Here is a 21065-nt window from a genome sequence, read left to right as displayed (position 1 = left end):
TTCCACCCCTTTGCCCCTGCAGACCCTGGGCACCCCTGCCTGGCACTGCTGAAGGACCACTCCCTCCCTGGGGACTCCCACCAGACCTGGGCGGTGGCTTCACCAGCCAACATGGAAGGGGCTCAGGGCAAATTGTCCTTGTTTGCAGATGAAGAAACAGAGCCTTGGTGTGCAAGACCAGAGTCCAGCCACAGAAGCAGCTGTGCCCCCTCCACTCCTCATCTTGAGAGACACCTTCCTTACACAATGCTGGGTGACCCAGGAACCCACATATTCAAGACAGAGGCCCCATTTATGGCAGCCGATGGCCCTGGGCAGGGGTGGGCTGATGTCTGCTGGATACAGACTGTAGGGTGCACTGGTTGTCAATTCTGGAATGTCCTGGAGAGCTGTGACTGGGAGGTGACAGCATCACCCACCCCGCTGGACACTTGTTCCCTTATGGGAAAGTCACAGCCCCTCTCGGGTGACCTTCTGAGCTTTAAGGCCTTCCTGCAGGCAGCTGTGTCCTCTGCCGGGCCTCCCCCGAGGTCCCCTCAGTGCTCTCCCATCTCAAGGCCGCACACACGTTTCTGGAGGCCTGGGCTGTCCTTCCTGGAGGTGCTGGAAGGAAGCACTGACTGCTCACCGTGTTCTGTGCTGTTTGATGCCTCCTTGGCCAGGGTTCATGACTTATACCATGTGCCGGATACTGTGGTCAGTGCAGGGTGTGTCATCAGCTTGCAGAGCATGCCCTCGCTGGGATTTGAGGACCCATGGGGCCCCCTGAGCCGATCCCAGCACCTTACTGGAGCTGAAGTACTTTTTCTGATTGAATCGTCATCTCCAGAGGAGCCAGGGCCACGTCTCAAGGTGGCGGAGGCAAAGGACTGGCCCTTCCCACAGATGCATCCGCTGAGTGACGTGCCAGAAAAGCCTCCACCTCTGAGAAGGGGCAGCTCCCCTAGACTGAGCCTGGGGTTCCTGCCACAGGGGAGGAGCCCAGCCGGGCAGAACCCCCAGGGTTAGTCCTGAAGGGAATCAAGGATGGGGAGGAGGAACTGGTGGGGTTGGAGGGACAGCGAGAGTGTGGCTTGGTGGGGAACGGAGAAAGGATCTATGGAGATCTCTGCAGCATGGGTGCCCTCTGTTACACGTCCAACTTGGCCTGAACTCTGATTGCTACTGTTTGGGGGAACAATGGAGCTTTGTGTGGGCCATGATCGTAGCAACACTTCCCAGGATCCAGGGCAAAGCCAGGAGCTCCCTGCTCTTCCCATGGGGGGCCCAGCTTGCCTGCCCTGGATGGGCAGTGTGGGCATCCTGCGAGGAGCCCAGCTGCCCTGGATGGTTGTGAAGGTGCCTGAGGGCTGGGGGAAGCTGTAGGAGGGAGGCCAAGACCCAACAGTGGGCAGCAGATGCCGGGTGGGTAGAGAAAGGCCCTGGATACAGGAGGCAGAGGCCGGTGCTTGGTCTGAGGCGGGACAGGACGGGAAGGGAAGAGAAGGAGCTTTCACCCCTTAGGCAGGTTCCATGTTTTCATGTTCGCTGCAGCAGGCCAGAGCACCCCTGAGCGGACAGGGCTGGGGCCTCGGGCTAGGAGGGGCCAGCAAGGCTGGACATCATGCTTTTGCTTTGGTGCCATTTATGTGACTTTTTCATTAGCTTCATTTAGCCAACCAGGAGTAAAAGAGAAATCAGATGGCCAGATGCTCTCTGGGCTGGGTCCTGGCAGGAGGGATGTGATGAGAGGTCAAGGGCCCGAGGGATTTAGGGTTCAGGTCAGTGTGCTGGTGAATGATAGATGAGGTCCAGGTCAGCGTGCCAGTCAATGATCAGATGGGGCCCAGGTTAGCGTGCTGGCCAATGATCAGATGGGGCTCAGGTCAGCATGCCAGACAGTCATCAGATGGGGCCCAGATCAGCATGCCAGACAGTGATCAGATGGGGCTCAGGTCAGCATGCCGGACAGTGATCAGATGGGGCTCAGGTCAGCATGCCGGACAGTGATCAGATGGGGCTCAGGTCAGCATGCCGGACAGTGATCAGATGGGGCCCAGGTCAGCATGCCGGACAGTGATCAGATGGGGCTCAGGTCAGCATGCCAGACAGTGATCAGATGGGGCTCAGGTCAGCATGCCGGACAGTGATCAGATGGGGCCCAGGTCAGCATGCCGGACAGTGATCAGATGGGGCCCAGGTCAGCATGCCGGACAGTGATCAGATGGGGCTCAGGTCAGCATGCCGGACAGTGATCAGATGGGGCCCAGGTCAGCATGCCAGACAGTGATCAGATGGGGCTCAGGTCAGCATGCCGGTGAATGATCAGATGAGGTCCAGGCTAATAGCCAGGGCTGGGATCCCAGGAGGGCAGGGACAGAACCGTGGGCAGAAGCTTGGAGTTTCCCTTAAGAGGGACCTGGGCTGGTTGGCATCTAGTACAGTGGTCAGGATGAGGAAACACCCCACTCAAGGGTTTAGAACAGGAAATGCAGCATAGTACCTACCTAGTGATGAGAAAAATACCACAAAGGGGAAGAAAAAGACCAGGACAAGCCTATGAAGCTCTCTGATCCTGAGTCCATCAGCTCAGCCACCTCGGGCACCAGCTGGTGGTGACCAGCCACGGGGGCTTAGATGTCCCTGGGATGACGAGTCCCACATGGCCTGGACCCCATGCTGGCGATGTGGATGGCAGACACCCCTGAGTGCACTGACTCCACTTCTCACCAGCCAGATCTGGGGCTTGCTGTGAGACAGCTCTGGAGATCCAAGGCCCCCTTGGGCCTCTCCACTCCCCAGGACAGGGCTGACCCTTCTCAATGTCTGGCCTCACCCACCTCTTTACCTAGCATAAAAGCTTAAGCCAGTCACCAATCGCATCATATCCACATTAGTGGGACGGCAGGGCTCCTGAACACACGGCTTTAGTAGATTAGATATCCTCGTTGGTCAGTGGTGCTGGTCACCAAGGGACCTTCAGAAACCGGGGAGAAGCCATGGGAGTGCAGAGAGCCCGTGTGTGGTCCTGGCATCAGTGGGCACAGAGGCAGGCCCTGGGAAAGTTGCCTGGACTCCTGCGGAAGGTTCTGATCGTGCCCGTTCTCATGTCCCTGAAGCCGGCCCTCTTGGTGTCTTCAGTTCAATGTGACAAGTTGTTTAATGTGGCAAATGGAGGCCTTATCACCTCTAAGGGATGTTGGGTGCAGCATCTCTGTCTGCTTATCATCTGTCACATTGCTGCTAGGATATGCAATCTCTCTCTGTGGGGGTAGCCCGAGTTTTGCTGCTAATATTAATGGTGCATGACATGTGTGCATCTCCATTTCATCATGAAGCACTTCCTCAGAGGTGGTCTCGGTAGTCCTCCCAGGCCTCAGGCAAGACAAGTCTCATGCACTAGGTGCCTCGAGAATGCAAACATGCACATGTCTCAGTCCCCCCACAAGAATGTAAACATGCACACGTCCCAGTTCTCTCTCAAGAATGCAAACATAAATGCATCCCAGTCCTCCCTCGAGAATGCAAACATGCACGCGTCCCAGTTCCTCCCTCGAGAATGCAAACATGCACGCGTCCCAGTTCCTCCCTCGAGAATGCAAACATGCACGCGTCCCAGTTCCTCCCTCGAGAATGCAAACATGCACGCGTCCCAGTTCCTCCCTCGAGAATGCAAACATGCACGCGTCCCAGTTCCTCCCTCGAGAATGCAAACATGCACGCGTCCCAGTTCCTCCCTCGAGAATGCAAACATGCATGCGTCCCAGTTCCTCCCTCAAAAATGCAAACATGCACATGTCCCAGTTCCTCCCTCGAGAATGTAAACATGCATGCGTCCCAGTTCTCTCTCAAGAATGCAAACATAAATGCATCCCAGTCCCCCCTCGAGAATGTAAACATGCACGTGTCCCAGTTCCCCCTCGAGAATGCAAACATGCACGCATCCCAGTTCCTCCCTCGAGAATGTAAACATGCACACGTCCCAGTTCCCTCTCGAGAATGTAAACATGCATGTCCCAGTCCCCCCTCGAGAATGTAAACATGCACACGTCCCAGTTCCCTCTCGAGAATGTAAACATGCACGCATCCCAGTTCCCCCTCGAGAATGTAAACATGCATGTCCCAGTCCCCCCTCGAGAATGCAAACATGCACATGTCCCAGTCCCCCCTCGAGAATGTAAACATGCACGCGTCCAGTCCTCCCTCTGTGTGCTCCCTGCGCCCTCTCTGGTTGTTATTGTGTGATCCAGATCAGGGGTTGGCAGAGGATCACCTGGGGCTGAATCTGGCTGACTTTTTAAAATAAAGTTTTATTGGCACACAGTCCTCCCACCATTTGTATGTTGTCTGTGACTGCTTTCCCACTGCCCTGGAATCAGTGAGGTGAGTTGTCCCACCGACGCTGTGTTGCCCAGAAAGCCTAAAGTGTTTCCTGTCTGCCTCTTCACAGAAAATAAATGTCTCCCCTGATCCAGATAATGGAAAGGAAGAAGTTGTTTTGATTTGGGAGCGCAGCCCCCAATTGGCACCCCTCTGGGGAGTAGTAAATACTCAGCTCTTTGGATGTTGCCATGGTGGGGGTTGTCTGTCTGTGTTGTAAGGAAAGGCAGTGTTCAGACAGCACAAAACCAACCATTAGCACACGACTGTATTACAGTGCAAGGTTTGCCTCACACCATTCCAGAGCTGTTATTTTCTGGAGGGCCATGAGGCACTCCAGATGTATGTGGATTCTATTGTCTTCCTGATTTTATAGATGACAAAGCTGAGATTCAGAAAGGTGGTGGTGTTTGCTCATGGTAGCTTCCAGTCTAAGACTTGATTTAAAGCCAAGACTGTTGGCCACAACCAGCACCTCCCATGCCAGGAGGGAGGCCAGCTGCAGTGGACACGACTGTGCAGCGGACACGCTTGTGTAGCGGACACACCTGAGCCCACCACGCACCTGAGCTGACCCCTGACAGGGCTCCTTGAAAGCCTTCTGCCTGCCAGGCTGAGCCGCAGCCCGTGCCTGTGATTCTGCCTCCCGCGAGCCTGTGTGTGCATGGATGACGGCATTGGGTCCACGTCACGGAGCCGCAGGCAGACATGCGGGCTTCATGCACTTGTGGCCTCAGCTTGTGTGTGTGGAGATGTGCGCCTGATCGTGCTCTCGTGCTGAATTTTAAATTAGTTTAAAAAGATTGTTTTATTATAACTGAAAGTGGAAAATATACCTCTGGAATGATATCAGCTAAACCTTGCACAGTAATAAATCTGTGTGCTCATGGTTTGTTTTTGTGCTGTTTAGTCGTTATGGTGACAGGCTGCATTAACTAATACGTAAGTTTGTTTTGAGAATTTTAACACTGGCTTGCCAAATGTTCTCTTTCTGCTGCGATCTTAGGCCTTTACAGTTCTCATTGGTGAGGATCAGCTTGGATTTCAGGGCCCTTCATGGTCTGAAAATGGCCAGAGCCCCCTCAACAACCCTGACTGGCACGTCTGAGAGAGGTGCCTTGTGTAAACAAGTGTAAGAGTAATGACACTTCAGAGGCACTACAGGGGAAAATAAGCAGCAAGACTCTCTCAGCCTTTGTGGAACACGTTTCCACACAGGAGCTGGGTTGTGATGGCCAGCAGGGAAGGCAGCCATCTCTCCCCGGTGGCCAGACAAGGGCTCTCGTGGACGGGGCACTGGTCCCAGTGGGGAGCAAACCTGACTGGGCCTTCCCCTGTCACCATCAACTGCTCAGGCAGGGCCAGAAAGACAGAAGAACTGCTGAGACACGGGGGCAGGGTGGCGGGGGTCCAGGCCGGGCGGGCAGCCTCTTGCCTGAGAGAGGGAGATAACAGTGAGGTCAGACGAGAAGGCCTGTGCTCCAGGTTTAGCCTAGGAGTCTCCAAACAGAGCACTGCCTCACAGCGAGGCAGCGTGGGGAAAAGGATGGGAAATGGGGGTGAATCAGAGGCCTCTGCATTCGTGCCGGGCTGTTTAAAATGCTCTGGGCCTCAGCATGCCCGCTTTAAAAATGGAGGAAGTATGTGGGAATGTGGAAACAAGTGAACGATTAATACTGAATTCCAGGAACGGCTGTGCCAGGAAGGAAGCCAACCTGGGAAGGGGCAGCAGGGGAGAGATGACTGTTTAAAAAATTGGCCAAGGGCCAGTCCTGGTGGCTCACGCCTGTAATCCCAGCCCTTTGGGACGCTGAGGCGGACGGATCACAAGGTCAGGAGTTCGAGACCAGCCTGGCCGATATGGTGAAACCCCATCTCTACTAAAAACACAAAAATTAGCCAGGCGTGGTGGCAGGCACCTGTAATCCCAGCTACTTGGGAGCCTGAGACAGGAGAATCTCTTGAACCCAGGAGGCGGAGCTTACAGTGAGCTGAGATTGCATCACTGCACTCCAGCCTGGCCACAGAGTGAGACTCAGTCTCAAAAAAAAAAAAAAAAAAAAGTTGGCCAGGGAAAGCCTATGAGAAAGGGACTTCAGGCCAAGTCTGAGTGGCGCGTGCAGGACCGTGGACAGGGGTGGGGAGTGTGGGAGAGGCTGTGTTTAAAGGGCTCCCTCAGGGGCACAGGTTCAGAGAGGCACTCGGAAAGCAGGTGCCATCAGTGCCTGGGAAGGGTGCTCTGCGTGTGCCGGCGGCAGATCTGACGCCCTCCTCCTGGGAATGGCAGGGCTCCTCCAGCAGCTGAAGGCACCCGTCACCCGGGCCTGTGGGGATGATGTGTTGGCCTCAGCAGGGGCTCTGGGCAGCCCGGCCTTCCCTTGAGATATGCCTGAGCATGCAGCAGTGACGGTGGCCCCGGGCCCTGGACGGCCTGGAGACAATGTAGCAAGGCCAGGCCCAGGCAGTTTTAACAATTCAGAGTCCTTCACATTCATTCAGAAAGTTGTTGACAATTGTTTGCAATTTTCTCTTAACATTTCTCTGCCTCCATCTCCTTAGCTGGAAAATGGGGAGCTCGTGTTTGGACAGTCAAGGATGGACATGGCAGGAGAATGGGTAGCCAGGGCGTGGGGCGCAAACGTGACCAAGATGTCCAAAGCTAAGGTTGACGTTCCTCCAGTAGACGTTTCCCCAGTGAGCTGGGCAGGGTGGCTCCCGCCTGTAATCCCAGCACTTTGGGAGGCCGACGGGGTCAGATCACAAGGTCAGGAGATCGAGACCATCCTGGCTAACATGGTGAAACCCCGTCTCTACTAAAACTACAAAAAATTAGCCAGGCGTGGTGGCAGGCGCCCGTAGTCCCAGCTGCTCAGGAGGCTGAGGCAGGAGAATGGTGTGAACCCGGAAGAAGGAGTTTGCAGTGAGCCGAGATCACGCCACTGCACTCCAGCCTGGATGACAGAGCGAGACTCCGTCTCAAATAAAAAAAAAGAATTGTCCCTGGTGGCCTGTGGGCCTTATTTTCGGGGTTTCTTGGGAGTGCAAAAGGGGCTAGAACATGGCGATGCACTCAAAAGAACCATTGTAACATATATTTTGGTGTGTCATTGATTTTGGAATTTTGAGTGGTGTGTGTGTGACTGCGTCTGTGTGTTTGGGACGGAGTTTGGCCTGGTTTTCAGGGTCATTTCCAGAAGTGACATTCGTGGATGTCTGTCATTACTCTAGACAAGGGCGCTGATAACAACAGGACAGAAACAGGTGGCCACGCTGGAGTACCTTTTCCTATGAGCACCGCCGAGAACCAAGATGCAAAAGCAAAGGGTTCCCCACGCACTACACTTCCGCATGTGACTGGGAAGGCCAGCCCTGAAGACCCTCCCTGGAAGCCCACTCCTTCTGCTCCACACACAAAGTACACACATCTGCTCACCTGCTCTCCTGAAGCACAGTAGATTAGACACAGCTCAAAGGCAGGAGCAGGGCTTTTCATGGCAGCACATTTGGAAGTTGCTGCTAGGATTAAAAAAAAAAAAAGAGTGCAAGGAAACAAAACATGGAAAATAACAAGGGCCCCTGACTGTCCTCGAACACGGGACACTTTAGGATTGGGGCAGCTACAGATTCCCGCGTGTGTGCCGTGACGGGACAGACCTGCAGCCATCATCCGAGAAGGTGTGTCATACAGGAACTTGCTGTTGGTGTCCTCGTGAAAGGAGGTACAAAGGCATAACACAAAAGGCGAAGCGTTCGCACTCACTCTGCTCTCCTGACCTCATCCACTCTGGCCCCTTAATTTTATAGAAAGGCCAGGCTCAGTGCAGACCAAAGTACATTGCTCATTGGTCAGCAGAGCCATACACAGCTCTGTCTAGCTCAGTATTTCTCTCTGTGGAAAAACGAGGCTGAGGAGCACGTGGACTGTCCCAGGTGGGGCAGGAGGACGATTGTTCCTCCTTGCAGGCAGTGCCTATGAACCCCCTCCCTAAGCCGGGTGTGTTCTAGTTGCAGGGTGGTGTAGGGATGAAAGCCAAGATTAGACCATTGGAACAGAAGGGATTGAACGCTTGGAACCCAAGGCAGCACGGGGCAGGGAGAAGGTGCCTCTACTGTGACATGGAAATTCCTCTCTGCTTAACGAGAATGTCCGTTAATAGTTCACTTCTGACCAGATTATTGTATCACTGCCAGCAGATCTGAGAAAAGCCTCTGCGTTTCCAAATTCTAAAGCCATTTCACTTTTTCCTAACGTCAGAAATTCCTTGATTCCTGTTCAAAGTGGCGATGGATGCCAACTCCGCTTAGCTGAAGGCTCTGAGCAGACTCCTCTGGCCCTATTTACAACCTCACGGCCATTTCCACTCGAGGTTCCTACATGGACCTCCACAGAGATGAGCCCTGCTGTCTGCTCAGAGGCCCTCAGAAGAGCTCCAAGGGGGCCTCTCGGGCTTAGAGGGGAGCTGAGAGATGTAGCCCCTGTCCTGGCCAAGCTGGAACTGTGCTTTCATTCCTTCTGAGCCCAGCTCAGCTCCTGGGACTTGGGGAGCTGAGGAAGTGCAGACCCACCCTCTGCTGAGAAGCTCCTGTCTTTGTTGACAAGAGGTGGGTCATGAGGGGACTGGCTAGAGTTCTTCTCCTAAATGGCATTGAGCTGAGGGTGTCTTCCTGGGACACAGACTGAGCCTACAGTTACCCTTTTAGCACCTGAAGGGAGCTTCTGTCGTGAACCCACTAATTGCCGGACTTTGAAATTCGTTATGCATTTGCACGAGGCTTTATGGGGTCTTTCTAGGCGTGTGGTTCCCTGGATGGTTGCAGCTCCCTGAGAGATCAGTAAGAGGGTCCCACCTGGGAGCCCTACAAGCACAGGCTGGGAGACCGTGGAGCAGGCGGCCCAGCAGGAATCTGCTCCCACTTGGAGCTAGAGCTGGGACCAGGACCGACGTTCTGATGACTCCCTGCCCCATGGGATGGAGGGGTCAGCCTGGCCCCAGGGCCACCCTCAAGTCAACAGCAGGAGTCCTTTAGTGAGAGCACCTCTCAATGGAGCCAAGGGTTCTAATGGGATGGAGAGAAGAGAGAAGAAAGGGAGCCGACTCGAAGGGGTGAGAAGCATGGGAGACAGGAGGCAGGAGAGTGGCAGTCTCATCAAGACTAGGACGGTGCTGCCAGAACGTGACTCCACAGGCCCCTCTCCGGGAAGTGCGCACGGCTCACACCCCTGCTGCCCGTGAGGGCAAAGGCACATCTAGATCCCAGCTTGCTCATGTGTGGTCCAGGAACCAGCAGCATCAGCATCACTTGGGAGGCTGTTAGAAATGTAGGCCCTCAGGCCCCACCCCATGGCTCCTGGGTCAGAATTCTCATTTCAGCACAGTCCCTGGGGCATGTGAGCATGTTGCAGCCCCACAAGCTCTGTTCTAGATGACATGGAAGAGTTAAGGGGCCAGGTGTGGTGGCTCACACCTGTAATCCCAGCACTTTGGGAGGCCGAGGGCAGGAGGATCCCTTGAGCCCAGGAGTTCAAGACCAGCCTGGGCAATGTAGCGAGACCCTCTCTCTACAAAAAAATTTAAAAATAATTAGCCAAGCATAGTGGAGTCTGCCTGTAGTCTGAGCTACTCTGGAGGCTGAGGCAGGAGGATCACTTGTGCCTGGGAGGTCAAGGCTGCAGTGAGTTGTGATTGCACCATTAAACTCTAGCCTGGAAAACAGAGTGAGATTTTGTCTCGAAAAAAAAAAATGTGTGAAGGGCAGATTGTGAAGGAGGCTTTCTCACACTGTGGCTTGGTGCCTTCTCAAACAGCCCTGATTAACACCTAATGAGCTGGGATCTCATTAAAACCCTTAAGTGAAAACATGTTTGCTCTATCCCCCTGTTTCATATAGTCACAGGGGATGCTGACTCCAGGTGATCTGATGTGCATTGAGGGAAAAGTCTCCCGGACGGAAATGGCTTTTGTTGGTTTCCTGCAGGATCACTGGGCCAGGGCCAAACACAAGACACTGACAAGTCGAGTGCCCCTGCCCCAAAGGAAACCATCCACAGGACAGTAGGGCACGCCAGGCAGCAGCGAGAGATGGCAGGGGCGACTGTCTCAGGGGAAGAAAGGGCCGGAGCCTAGTCACTGCCCAGCCACTCCCACCACTCGCCATCGACCGAGTCAGTCTCCAAGGCTGGCCCAGTCTCTGGGGAGGGAGCAGCGCCCACACAGGGAGGAGGGAGGAGGGAGGTGGTGGACACCTTCTGAGACTCTACACAGACCCAAGACAGAAACACAGACCCAAGACAGAAACACAGACCCGAGACAGAAACACAGACACGAGGCTGGAACGCAAGACCCTGGGCTCCAGGACACAGGGAGGGTCTTGGGTGGGGGAGCAGAGTTGGCTTTAAAGGAAGGAAGATGCTACCATGAATGGGTGCAGAACAGGAAGGGCCCTTAGAGAATGTCCAGGGTCCATGGGCTGCAGGATTCCTAGGAGTCTGTGATGGTGCCTCGGCTGGTTCCCTGGGGTAGCAAGAGGGTTATAGGGTACTTCGTATCCTGAATTATTTACTTCTGTACTTATCTATTATTCTAATGACAAGATAAGATGATGCTTATTATAAAAATTCAAAGATTCCTTTTCCCTTAAAATGGAAAAATGAAAATCATAAACTTCAAACAGAAAAATTGTAAAAAGGAGCCACGTCAAGTCAAGGAAGTAACATGGTCAGGAGTTAAATGTCCTTAAAGCTCCTGCCATTGCACGCAGCACTCATGGGGCAGGCTGGACGGACAGACAGACTGGCATCAGGGGAAGGGGTTCTTCAGACACATGACAAGGATTGAGTCTATCTTTCAGAAAAACATTTTGAGCCAAATGGCTTGGCACACGGAGAAAGAACACAGTTTGAATCTCATGTCTTTAAAACTCAGTAAATTCAGATCCATCAAAGAATTAAATATTAAAAACTAAAATGTAAATGTTCTAGAATCCAATGATGCTGAAAAGGCTTGGAGTTACTGAAGGAGGCCTTTTTTTAAGCATGTTCCCAACTCCAGAAATCATACTGAAAAATATTGATAAGTATGACTACATAAAAATGTAAAATAGCTGAAAAAAAAAACGCCTACAGCCAGGATGAAAATCAAATTTAAAAACTGGGAAGGTGTTTTTCACACGCATGATTGACAAGGTCTATTATGCAAAGGATATTTACAAATAAATTAGGAAAAAATCCCAATAGAAAGAAATGGCAAGAGGCTATGCACAGGCATACAAAAAGAAAAGAAAAACAACCAATAATTACAGAAAAGAAATGCAAAATAACAATAAGAGTGTTAAACATTAGCTATTGGATTGAGAAATATTAAAGATCAAAGAAATCTGTGCTGGCGAGTCTTCTTGTGTGCTTAGTAGCGGCTCACGTTAGAACCATCAAAAACACAGTTCCGAAACCAGCACCATAATGTGTGATGGCTCCAGCTTCTGCCTGAGTCGTTATTTGTTGTAAAGGTGATAACTGCACAAGGTTAAACGAGGGATGCACGAAGATGTTCATAGGAAATGATTTATTAAACAAAGGGAAAAAGAAAAACATGACATCTCTAAATGCTCATTAATGGAGATTGGCTATATAAGCTCTGATAAATCTACTGAAAGATCACATGCTAATTAAAAGCAATGACGTACATGTCTGCTTGTTGTGAACTATTTCTATATCATATTGTTGACAGAAGAAAGCTGATTTCAGAGTAAAGTGTACATGCGTACAGGATAAACTTGCATTTAGGTGGACAAGCAACCCTTTCCTCTCTCCCGGAAGTGCCATCGCCCAGGAACGTGCTTGGGAAAGAAAGAGGGGTGCTCGAGTATTCTTGCCCAGTTTGTTGACGTGAGCGCTGCACCCAGACCTGCCTGCCCCCTGCCCTACCTTGCTGTGGGTCCAGCATTGGTGGGAATTGGTGGGAAGCACTTTGCTCTCCCAGCTCCAATCTGATAGATGGAGGAACCCCGAGCCAGGGCAGCCGCAGCCATTTCTAGGTGGTTGAGCTTTAGTGGATTTCTACTTTCTGTTTTACGGATTGTGTAATTTTTCCCCCATGTGTAACTTCAAAAACAAAGAATAACTTTTCAAAGATAGGCACAGAGTGGTGTGTGGAGGGCTGAACATTCCTGCACCTGGCAGTGTGTTTGAAGAAGTCCAGGGCATTTATCAAAGCACGGCAGGATTTGAGAAGAGTGCCTAGCTGCTGTGAGCTACCAGCCCTGGGGTCCTGGTGATCCTTCCATTTGCGTCTTGTGCTCTGGCTTTCAAAGCCGCTCTCGTCCATGATCGTCTGGGGGAGTTTCAGAGGCGCCTGAAGGGAAGTGAATGGATACAGGGGCCTCTCTGGGCATTCCTCGGAAAGTCCAGCAGTGCCTCCGGGAGGCGTGGGTACCGGGCCTGGGTGCTGGCCTGGGGGCCCTGGTCTCAGGGACAACCCAGCCTGGAGGCAGCGTGAGGGGAGGACGCCTTTCTGAGTCTCTTCCAAGAGCACCTTCCATCCTGCAGCAGTGGGAGCGGTTCACCCTGGCTTTATTCTGTTGGCCCTCTCATCCTGTCCCTGCCGCTTAGACAAGGATCAAGGATGGGCCAATGGGATGCAAAGGTAGCTGAACCCACACCTGCCCCTTGCAGCACCCGTGGGGGGGCATGTCCCTACTCAGGACTGGTGGGAGGATGGGCATCAGCCAGGGCTGAACACTGAGTCTACCTCCCTCTGGGACACAGCCTGTGGCTTGGGCCGGGCAGTGGCCTCACTGCCACACATGCCCCACTCTGCCCCATGTGCCCCCGCTCTGTCCACGTGCCCCATGCTGTCTGACTTTGCTTTGATGTTGTGCAAGTGGTACATGGAGGAGTTGTAGCAAAAGTTGGCCGTGAAGTGCGGTCTCTTAGAAGCCCTTTGTGTCTGGCTCTCTGCATCCTCAAAGGCCTTTGTCTCCACATTTGCCCATTTTCACCCTCCCCTCTGAGGGAGTGAGGTCTGATGATCCCTGGTAACTCTCTGTAGGTAGTTTGGACTCAGCATCTCTCTGGATCCAGCAAAGAAACCAAAGATGAGAACCACCACGGCGACTTCTCAGAAGTTCCCCAGAGAGCAGATGAGAGAGAAGACTTCCTAACTGCCCGCTCTGCAGGATTGGTTCAAACCCCAACTCACTGGGCCCCTCTTCCTTGCCTGCTGCTCACTGAGTAGGTGGGACCAGTGAGGGCTCAGAGACCAGAAGCAGGTCCCCTGGGCCGGGGCTTGAGGGAGCTGGGTAGGACCGTCAGCTTCTTATCAGCCAGGCTCCCCTTCCCTCATTAGGCAGAAGAGCAGGGTGGTAATAAAATAAAGGACTGCCGAGTGCTCTCGGGGAGCTCTGAGCAGGGGGCAGTTGGCTTAAAAGGCAAAAAGGCAACCACGAAGCTCACGGCAAGGTGAACACCATGCGCCGTGAGGGTGGTGCTGCAGCTGGTGGAGCCGCACAATAGATAACACCCGCTCTGGCTGATCCAGAAGGCTCAGGTGTGTCATGATGCGTTTAGCTTTTTAATGTATGTCACGGCATATCTCAGGACCCAAGTTCACCGTGCCAAAAGGAAAAATAAAGCTGGATGGAAGCTCTGTCATGTTGTCATGTGAGAAACTGCCTTCCCTTTTTTTTCTTTTTTTTTTTTTGAGACGGAGTCTTGCTCTGTCACCAGGCTGAAGTGCAGCGGCTCACTGCAACCTCTGCCTCCCGGGTTCAAGCAATTCTCTGCCTCAGCCTCCTGAGTAGCTGGGATTACAGGTGCCCGCCACCGCACCTGGCTAATTTTTTTGTATTTTTAGTAGAGACGGGGTTTCACCATCTTGGCCAGGCTGGTCTTGAACTCCTGATGTTGTGATCCACCCACCTTGACCTCCCAAAGTGCTAGGATTACAGGCGTAAGCCACCGTACTCGGCCTCCTCTTGTTCTTAAGCAGAGAGCTCGGAGAGGAGGCCCGGGATCTGCACAGTGGCTCTGCTGTGCTTCCTGTGTCTCACGGAAACTGCTGATTTACCGAACGCCAGAGAAATGCACCACCCATTCCTCTACCTGCTCCTCTTCACGTATGACACGAGGGTTCAGTCACGTGACCATGCCCTCCAATTTCCCTCGCTGCCCCCTTTTCCTCTTAAAATATGGAAACCCTCGAAAGCCTCTTTGGAAAAAGCACAGATCACAGACTCTTCCTGTAGTTTTGTGTTCCTTTTTTCACAGTCTCATCCTTAACCCGGGCAAAATAAACCTCTGAGTAGACTGAGACCTGCCTCAGACACTTTATGGTTTACACAGTCAATGACAGCATACGAGCAGTTGAAGCTACCCATTTATTCTGAAAGGGGATTATCCGTGTGAATGTAAGAGTGAGGTCCAGGAGGAGATCCTCGGAGACCTCTTCTTCCTCGCTGAGCATCACCCTGTAGGAGCTGGTGGCCTGGGCGTCCCACTGCGCATCAGCCTCAGGTGCACTGGGCTGGGGGATCTCCGGAGGCCTGGGCCTCACAGACCGGACAGGTGGTGCCTGCTTGCCCCGCTACTCCTCGCTGGTTCAAGGCCCAGGCTCTGGGGAGCTTTGGGCAAATGACGGGGGACCGCCGCTTCCATAAAATCCTGCCGTGACCTGCCTACAAGGCTGGGTGAGACCTGATTCTTTCATTTTAAAACCGGGATGGAGCTGAAAGGAGCATCATGTCTTGGAGACTCTGAAAACTCAGCCCTTTTGTTTTACAGGGAGGGAGACAGAATCAGACTGTGGAGGAGGCGTGCCTGGAACTGGGGACTCCGGCAGCCACAGGTCTGGCTCCTGGCCCAGGATCTTTTGCTCCATGCTGCTGCCCTCGGAGGGCCCTCAGCTCCCTCTGAGACAGTGAGGATGCCTAGGGCCGTAGCCCCTCACTCAGAGAGCCTCAGAAAGCTACCAGGGGGCCTGAAAAGTGTCTCCAAATACTGGGCTCAAAGATGCCTGGCCACACATATGGCCCGTTGTCAGAACTGACCATTCACAGGTGGGTGGTGTCCACCATGGTCTGACCATCTCCAGAGACCCTGCCCTCCCCATCCTCTGCCCGTCAGCACAGCTGTGTCCAACGAGCCTGAGGCTGAGGCTACTGTGACTTGCTGGCCACATGTGCTTGGACAATGATTCTCACCACTGCACCTCGGTGTCGCACGCAGAGGTCTCTGGCCTCCCTGGAGTGAGTGGATGAGCTACAGGGACATTGGAGTTGCTGGCACAGAGCTGGGCCTCTGTGGGTCAGCTGGAGCTGCACCAGGCATGTCCCTGGGAGCCTCCCTAGGGCTGGCTCTCAGAGGGCAGCACCCATGTGGTACATGCTGGGGGCAGCGGGGCCCAGCTGGGGCCATCACATGCAGTGGCAGTGAGGAAGGGGCGTGTTCGCTTAGACACACCGGTCCGTGCCTCAGCCACCCCCAGCACCCGAGGGACTTCACACACCTGGGATATTTTCAAAGCCCACACCAGAGCTATGTGATTGTTCTTTGCAGCTTCCACACAGGTGCGTGGCCTCCTCGGCCAGCCAGCGCTAACCAGCAGTGAATTTGTCCCTCTCTTGGGAAGCATGACTCCAGCTTAATTTTTTTTTTCTATCTTTAGCATCTTCAACTTCTTTTCCCTTTATACGACAAGGCCGTCCTTGTCCCCACTCCCTGCTGCATGCAGCGAGCCCTGTGTTCCCTTTGTCCTTTCAGAAGCACTGGCTGCCATCTCCCGCACAGCAGTGGCTCCCTGCGGATTGCGGCGAAGGCGTTATTCCAGGGGAATAATAAGGAAATGGAGACTCGGAAAACAAGGCACTGGCTCGTCAAGCCTGCGAGACAACCACATTGGTTCCTCCTGAATCTTGTTAAGAATTTGCGGTAACATGTTTTGGCTGCTGCTGGAGCACTGAAGGGTCCTCCCTGGTGGCCGCTGGCAACAGAGGTGGTGAACCGGGGAAAGGTGTGCTGTGATGCTACGGCGCCAGGATAAGGACGCTACGGCGCCAGGATAACGATGCTACATCGCCAGGATAATGACGCTACATCGGAACTTAAAACCCTGTCAAATTCAGTGAAGACACTGAGTACTCAAGCGAGAACAGCAAGTGCGAGGCCCTAGGGAGGCTAGTGAGAGCTACGCTTCTGTATGTGGGGCCTCCTGGGAGTCAGACTCAGAAGTGAGCATAAGTCAGAGATCAAGCAGGGCTTCATGGAGGAGGTGTCCTTGCAGGGGCCTGTGAGGATAAGGAGGAGCTCACCAGGCAGCAGCAATGGAGGCAGAGGGACATCGCGGGTAAAGAAGGGAAGATGAGAGAAGATCCAGCCTGTTCCTCACACATGGTGTCCCCAAGGCCTCGGCAAGTGTGACAATGACACAGGCGTGTAGGGTACAGCAGGGACGGGGCAGCAAGGGTGTGGGGTTTATATCCAGGGATCTTCTATTTGATCAGCAGGACCTGGAGCACAACTTTAAATCTATGGAATCTATTATTTGTTTCCAACACTAAGAGCATTTCAGGCGGGGAAGGATGGAAGGGGCAGGGGCTCGGGATGACGGTTAAAGAGACGTTATCTTTATTTTTTATTTAATTTTTTTTTTTGAGACAAGAGTTTTGCTCTGTTGCCCAGGCTGGAGTGCAGTGGCACGATCTCAGCTCACTGCAAACTCCACTTCCCAAGTTCAAACAATTCTCATGCCTCAGCCTCCCAAGTAGCTGGGATTATTATAGGCGCCTGCCACCATGCCCAGCTAATTTTTTTTTTTTTTTTGTATTTTTATTAGTGACGGGGTTTCACCATGTTGGCCAGGCTGGTTTCAAACTCCTGACCTCAGGTGATCCGCCCACCTCGGCCTCCCAAAGCGCTGGGATTACAGGCATGAGCCACCGCACCCGGCCAGAGAAGTTAACTTTAACACTCATGCGTTTAAAACGAAGACTGGAACCTGAGCCAGCAGTAGGCTCATAGTGGCTTTTCCTCATAGCTGCTCGCTATTATGATACTCAGTATTTTTAAGCTTCTTGAGAGTGTGCAACGTGTGTACACAACATTTCACGGTTTCCCCGGGCCTTGGCCTGACCTTTGCTGATAACAGACTCGGGGCTTGCTTCAGCTCCGAGGCTTCTCCCTCCTGCCTGGCTGTGGCTGGGATGTGTTCCCTTCCCTCTGACGCTGTCTTCGCGGGGACCACTCCTGCGCGCCACGCCCAATCGTTCTTGCCCGTCGTCTTTGCCATCGTGGGGGGTTTTCATTTTGTTCTTTGTCCTTCCCCTCTACATCCCACGACGGTGTCTGGGGTTTGTCCTCTCCATCCCCAGCAGGTTTCTGCAGCAGCGTGGGGTCTTGAAGCTGAGTTCACAGCTTTGCTCAGGTGGAACTTCCCTTCCCTGCTGTCCCCAGCGCCTCGCCCAGCCTGCGTGTTCCTTCCTGCTACTCCTCAGCCAATTCCATTTTCATCCCAGTCTGTCACTTAGTTATCTCGCTCTCCATCTCTTTTCACAGAGTTTCCTGAGTCTTGTTGAGAACACAGAACAGATGCTTTCTAAAAATTGCCTTTTATCCCACGGTGAGCAGTGACTCTATACCATTCACATTCATGAATATATAAAGACACAGACGAATGGATACAACGAGCTCCCTCTCTGCAGCTCCGGAGCTCTGTGCAGGTTGTAGAATGACTTGTCCTGGAAGACAAACCATTTTCCCAGGCATAGCAGGTGGGCTCCCTGGCTCCTCGCACCATCCATCTGGCTGACTGAGGACCTTCGCTGCAGCTCACCTGCGGAGCCCAAAGGCCAGTGTCTGGCCTCCACCAAAAGGACCACCCCAGCTCCATGCAGAATTTCAGCCCCCACCCCTCAGTCATCTCACAAGGAAGAACGGAACTCACCTCCAGATAACTTCAAAGTTCATCACTATTCTCTTACCAGAAAGGGTCAGTCACCAGGTACTAGAACCCTGGGTTGCTGGGCCCACGGGCTCTTCCAGGGCGGCCGTTCCCTGCAGCCAGCTGTGCCTTCCCAGATGCGGTCTCTCCCTGGCCGCTCTCACGTGCCACCCAGTCCCGAGGTGGGACAGAAAATGGTTCCAGCGTGGTGTAGACATGAACATGTATTCATGGCCCGGAAAGTGGCAGACGCACAGCAGAGGGGGGCTGCGGCTAGGGGGTCTCAGTTCCAAGAATCCAACCCAAAGAGAGAGAGGTGCCAGTGGGGACCTGGTCGCACTCCAGCTCACTGACCACACCGTGGGAGACAGAAATCCCTGCGGCGGAGCACTGACCCATAGTCCTGGCTCCCAAGGCTCCTCCACGGGTATTTCAGTGGGGAGGTGGTGACGGGTGGTTGGCAGAGCGAGGGTCCAGCAAAATAGAAGCACCTCCCCCTTCACGCTTCTTCTCACCAGCTCATTTTCACAGGGCAAGAGGGAGTGGAATAAATGATTTGGGGTATTTTACGGCCCGTTTTACAGCACGATTAATGGCCCATTGACATATGAACTGGTTGCAGAACCAGTTGCCCACGCACGAAGAGACTGGCAACAGGGAGGGGGTGTGGCTTTGCTCACTCTCCTCTTAAATGAGTCTGGCTTGAGTTGGGTTCAGGTGGCAGTCGACGGGACTTAAAACTGAGTCTGGCTAGAGTTGGGATCAGGTGACAGTTGACTGGGCCTGAGATTTTGTCCGGAACTGGTTCCTTCCCGTGGGTTTCTGGTCCTGCTGACTTCAAGAACGCAACCACAGACCCTCGCGGGGAGTGTCACAGCTCTTAACGGTGGTGCGGACCGAAAGAGCAAGCAGCAGCAAGATTTATAATCAAGACAAAAGAACAGACCTGAGCATGTTCCCGCAGCAAGCTGGCAGTGGCCAGCTTTTATTCCCTTATTTGTCCCCGCCCATGTCCTGTTGATTGGTCCATTTTACAGAGCACTGATTGGTCCATTTTACAGAGTGCTGATTGGTCCATTTTACAGAATGCTGATTGGTCCATTTTTACAGAATGCTGATTGGTGCATTTACAATCCTTTAGCTACACACAGAGTGCTGATTGGTGCATTTACAATCCTTTAGCTAGAAAGAAAAGTTCTCCAAGTCCCCACCTGACCCAGAAGCACAGCTGGCTTCACCTCTCAAGATGTCATCACCAGGATAGAGAAAATTACAGAAGCAATTGAACAATTTAGTCATCAGATGTAGTCAGCTGAAGAGTTTGTCCCTGGATATTTGTACTAAAACATAGTAAAACCAAAAGCCAACACATGATATTAGTTAACAAATGGTTCAATTAAAGAATTCATTGAAGAATCTGACCTGCAATGGAAGAGCTGTTCAATGGATCCATTTTCTAAATACTTTCCTGGGCTTGGCTCTTCTGAGCTTAGCTCACTTTGGGGACAGAGGCAGGAGAAGGATGTGACTTTCATGTTCTAGATGAAGAGGTTGGTGCTTAGGGAGGTAGGTGCTTTCTGGTCTTCTGGCTAGTGAGCATCTGAGCTGAGGCTGAACCCACACCATTCTGCCTCCAGTGAGTGGGGTTGGGGGCTGGGGTTCGGGTTGATGTATAGGAACAGCATGCCAGTATGGATTCTAATTCTGGACATAGAGTATATGTGTTGCTTCCTACTCCTCTCAAAGATGAGGGCTTCTCTGCCAATTTCGGTGGCTGGCTTAGTATCCCTAATGGCTGGGATGTTATCGTGATCATTTGGAGATTTCATGAAATCATCCCTCTTTGGCAAAATGTATGAATCATCACTGTGTCTTCCTGGACTTCTGAGGTGTTGGGGAACCCGTGGAGAAGGGGGGCTCATTTTCCTAATGAGAAAAGAGACGAATTAAATGAGGACTTTGATGATCTGAGGCAGCACCAGCAAATGCACGGCTCACCATGGAGAGTTAGTACAGAAGTTAACCGTTTACTTAGGAAATTTCAGGAATGAAAAAAGAGAAAATGAGGCCAAGCAGGAGTCAATTCAAAGAAGTCTTCAACATGCTTATTTATTCTCGGCATATTTTCAACTTCTTCTTATGGAGAATTTTAAACATATAAAGAACATGTAGAATGCTACAGTGTATTTTCATGTACCTAACACCCAGCTTCAAGTACTGTCCTAAATCAATATACATATTTTTACATCTAAATTCTCTCAGCCTGGCCAATATGGTGAAACCCTGTCTCTATTAAAAATACAAAAACTAGCTGGGTGAGGTGGCGGGTGCCTGTAATCCCAGCTACTCAGGAGGCTGAGGCAAAAGAATCATTTGAACCCGAGAGGTGGAGGGTGCAGTGAGCCAAGATTGTGCCATTACACTCCAGCCTGGGCAACAGAGAGAGAACCTCTCTCAAAAAATAAATAAATAAATACATAAATTCCCTCACACTTCCCCTTTCCTCATATTTTTTAAGAAATAAACCCAAGGCATTATAAAATATCTTTTGTACATGTTTCTGCATGTATTTCTAAAAGGTAAAGGCTCGTGTTTTTAGGCAAGATAATGGTTATGTCCTTACTATTTCAAAAACATTTAATATCAAATATCATCAGTGTTCAAGTTTTCAATGGCCTCATAAATGTCAATTTGTCTTTCTTACATTTTGTTTGTTTGAGTCAGAATCCAAATAAGGTTGACACAGTGTGATTGATGGATGTTTTTAAAGTCTCTTTC

The 21065-nt window shown here is 52.2% G+C and overlaps 1 long non-coding RNA gene across 1 annotated transcript in view, besides 2 other annotated features; it reads right to left on the bottom strand.

The window, feature by feature from the left end:
- Nucleotides 245-745: an enhancer, noted in NCBI's record as "H3K4me1 hESC enhancer chr2:240741003-240741503 (GRCh37/hg19 assembly coordinates)". NCBI's record gives its function as "activates a minimal SCP1, AML or CMV promoter by ChIP-STARR-seq in naive H9 embryonic stem cells {active_cell/tissue: H9 hESC(naive)}" and the evidence as "EXISTENCE:reporter gene assay evidence [ECO:0000049][PMID:30033119]".
- Nucleotides 1463-2049: an enhancer, noted in NCBI's record as "H3K27ac-H3K4me1 hESC enhancer chr2:240739699-240740285 (GRCh37/hg19 assembly coordinates)". NCBI's record gives its function as "activates a minimal SCP1, AML or CMV promoter by ChIP-STARR-seq in naive and primed H9 embryonic stem cells {active_cell/tissue: H9 hESC(naive and primed)}" and the evidence as "EXISTENCE:reporter gene assay evidence [ECO:0000049][PMID:30033119]".
- LOC150935 (uncharacterized) overlaps nucleotides 19390-21065 on the bottom strand; it is a 37805-nt gene continuing 36129 nt past the window's right edge. Inside the window, exon 3 of the long non-coding RNA NR_037808.1 lies at nucleotides 19390-20213. This is a non-coding gene — a long non-coding RNA (uncharacterized LOC150935). The remainder of the gene's footprint in view (nucleotides 20214-21065) is intronic.

The sequence above is a fragment of the Homo sapiens genome, chromosome 2, assembly GCF_000001405.40.
Source record: "Homo sapiens chromosome 2, GRCh38.p14 Primary Assembly".
NCBI classification, from domain to species: domain Eukaryota; kingdom Metazoa; phylum Chordata; class Mammalia; order Primates; family Hominidae; genus Homo; species Homo sapiens.
This window is presented reverse-complemented; position numbering and strand designations above follow the sequence as displayed.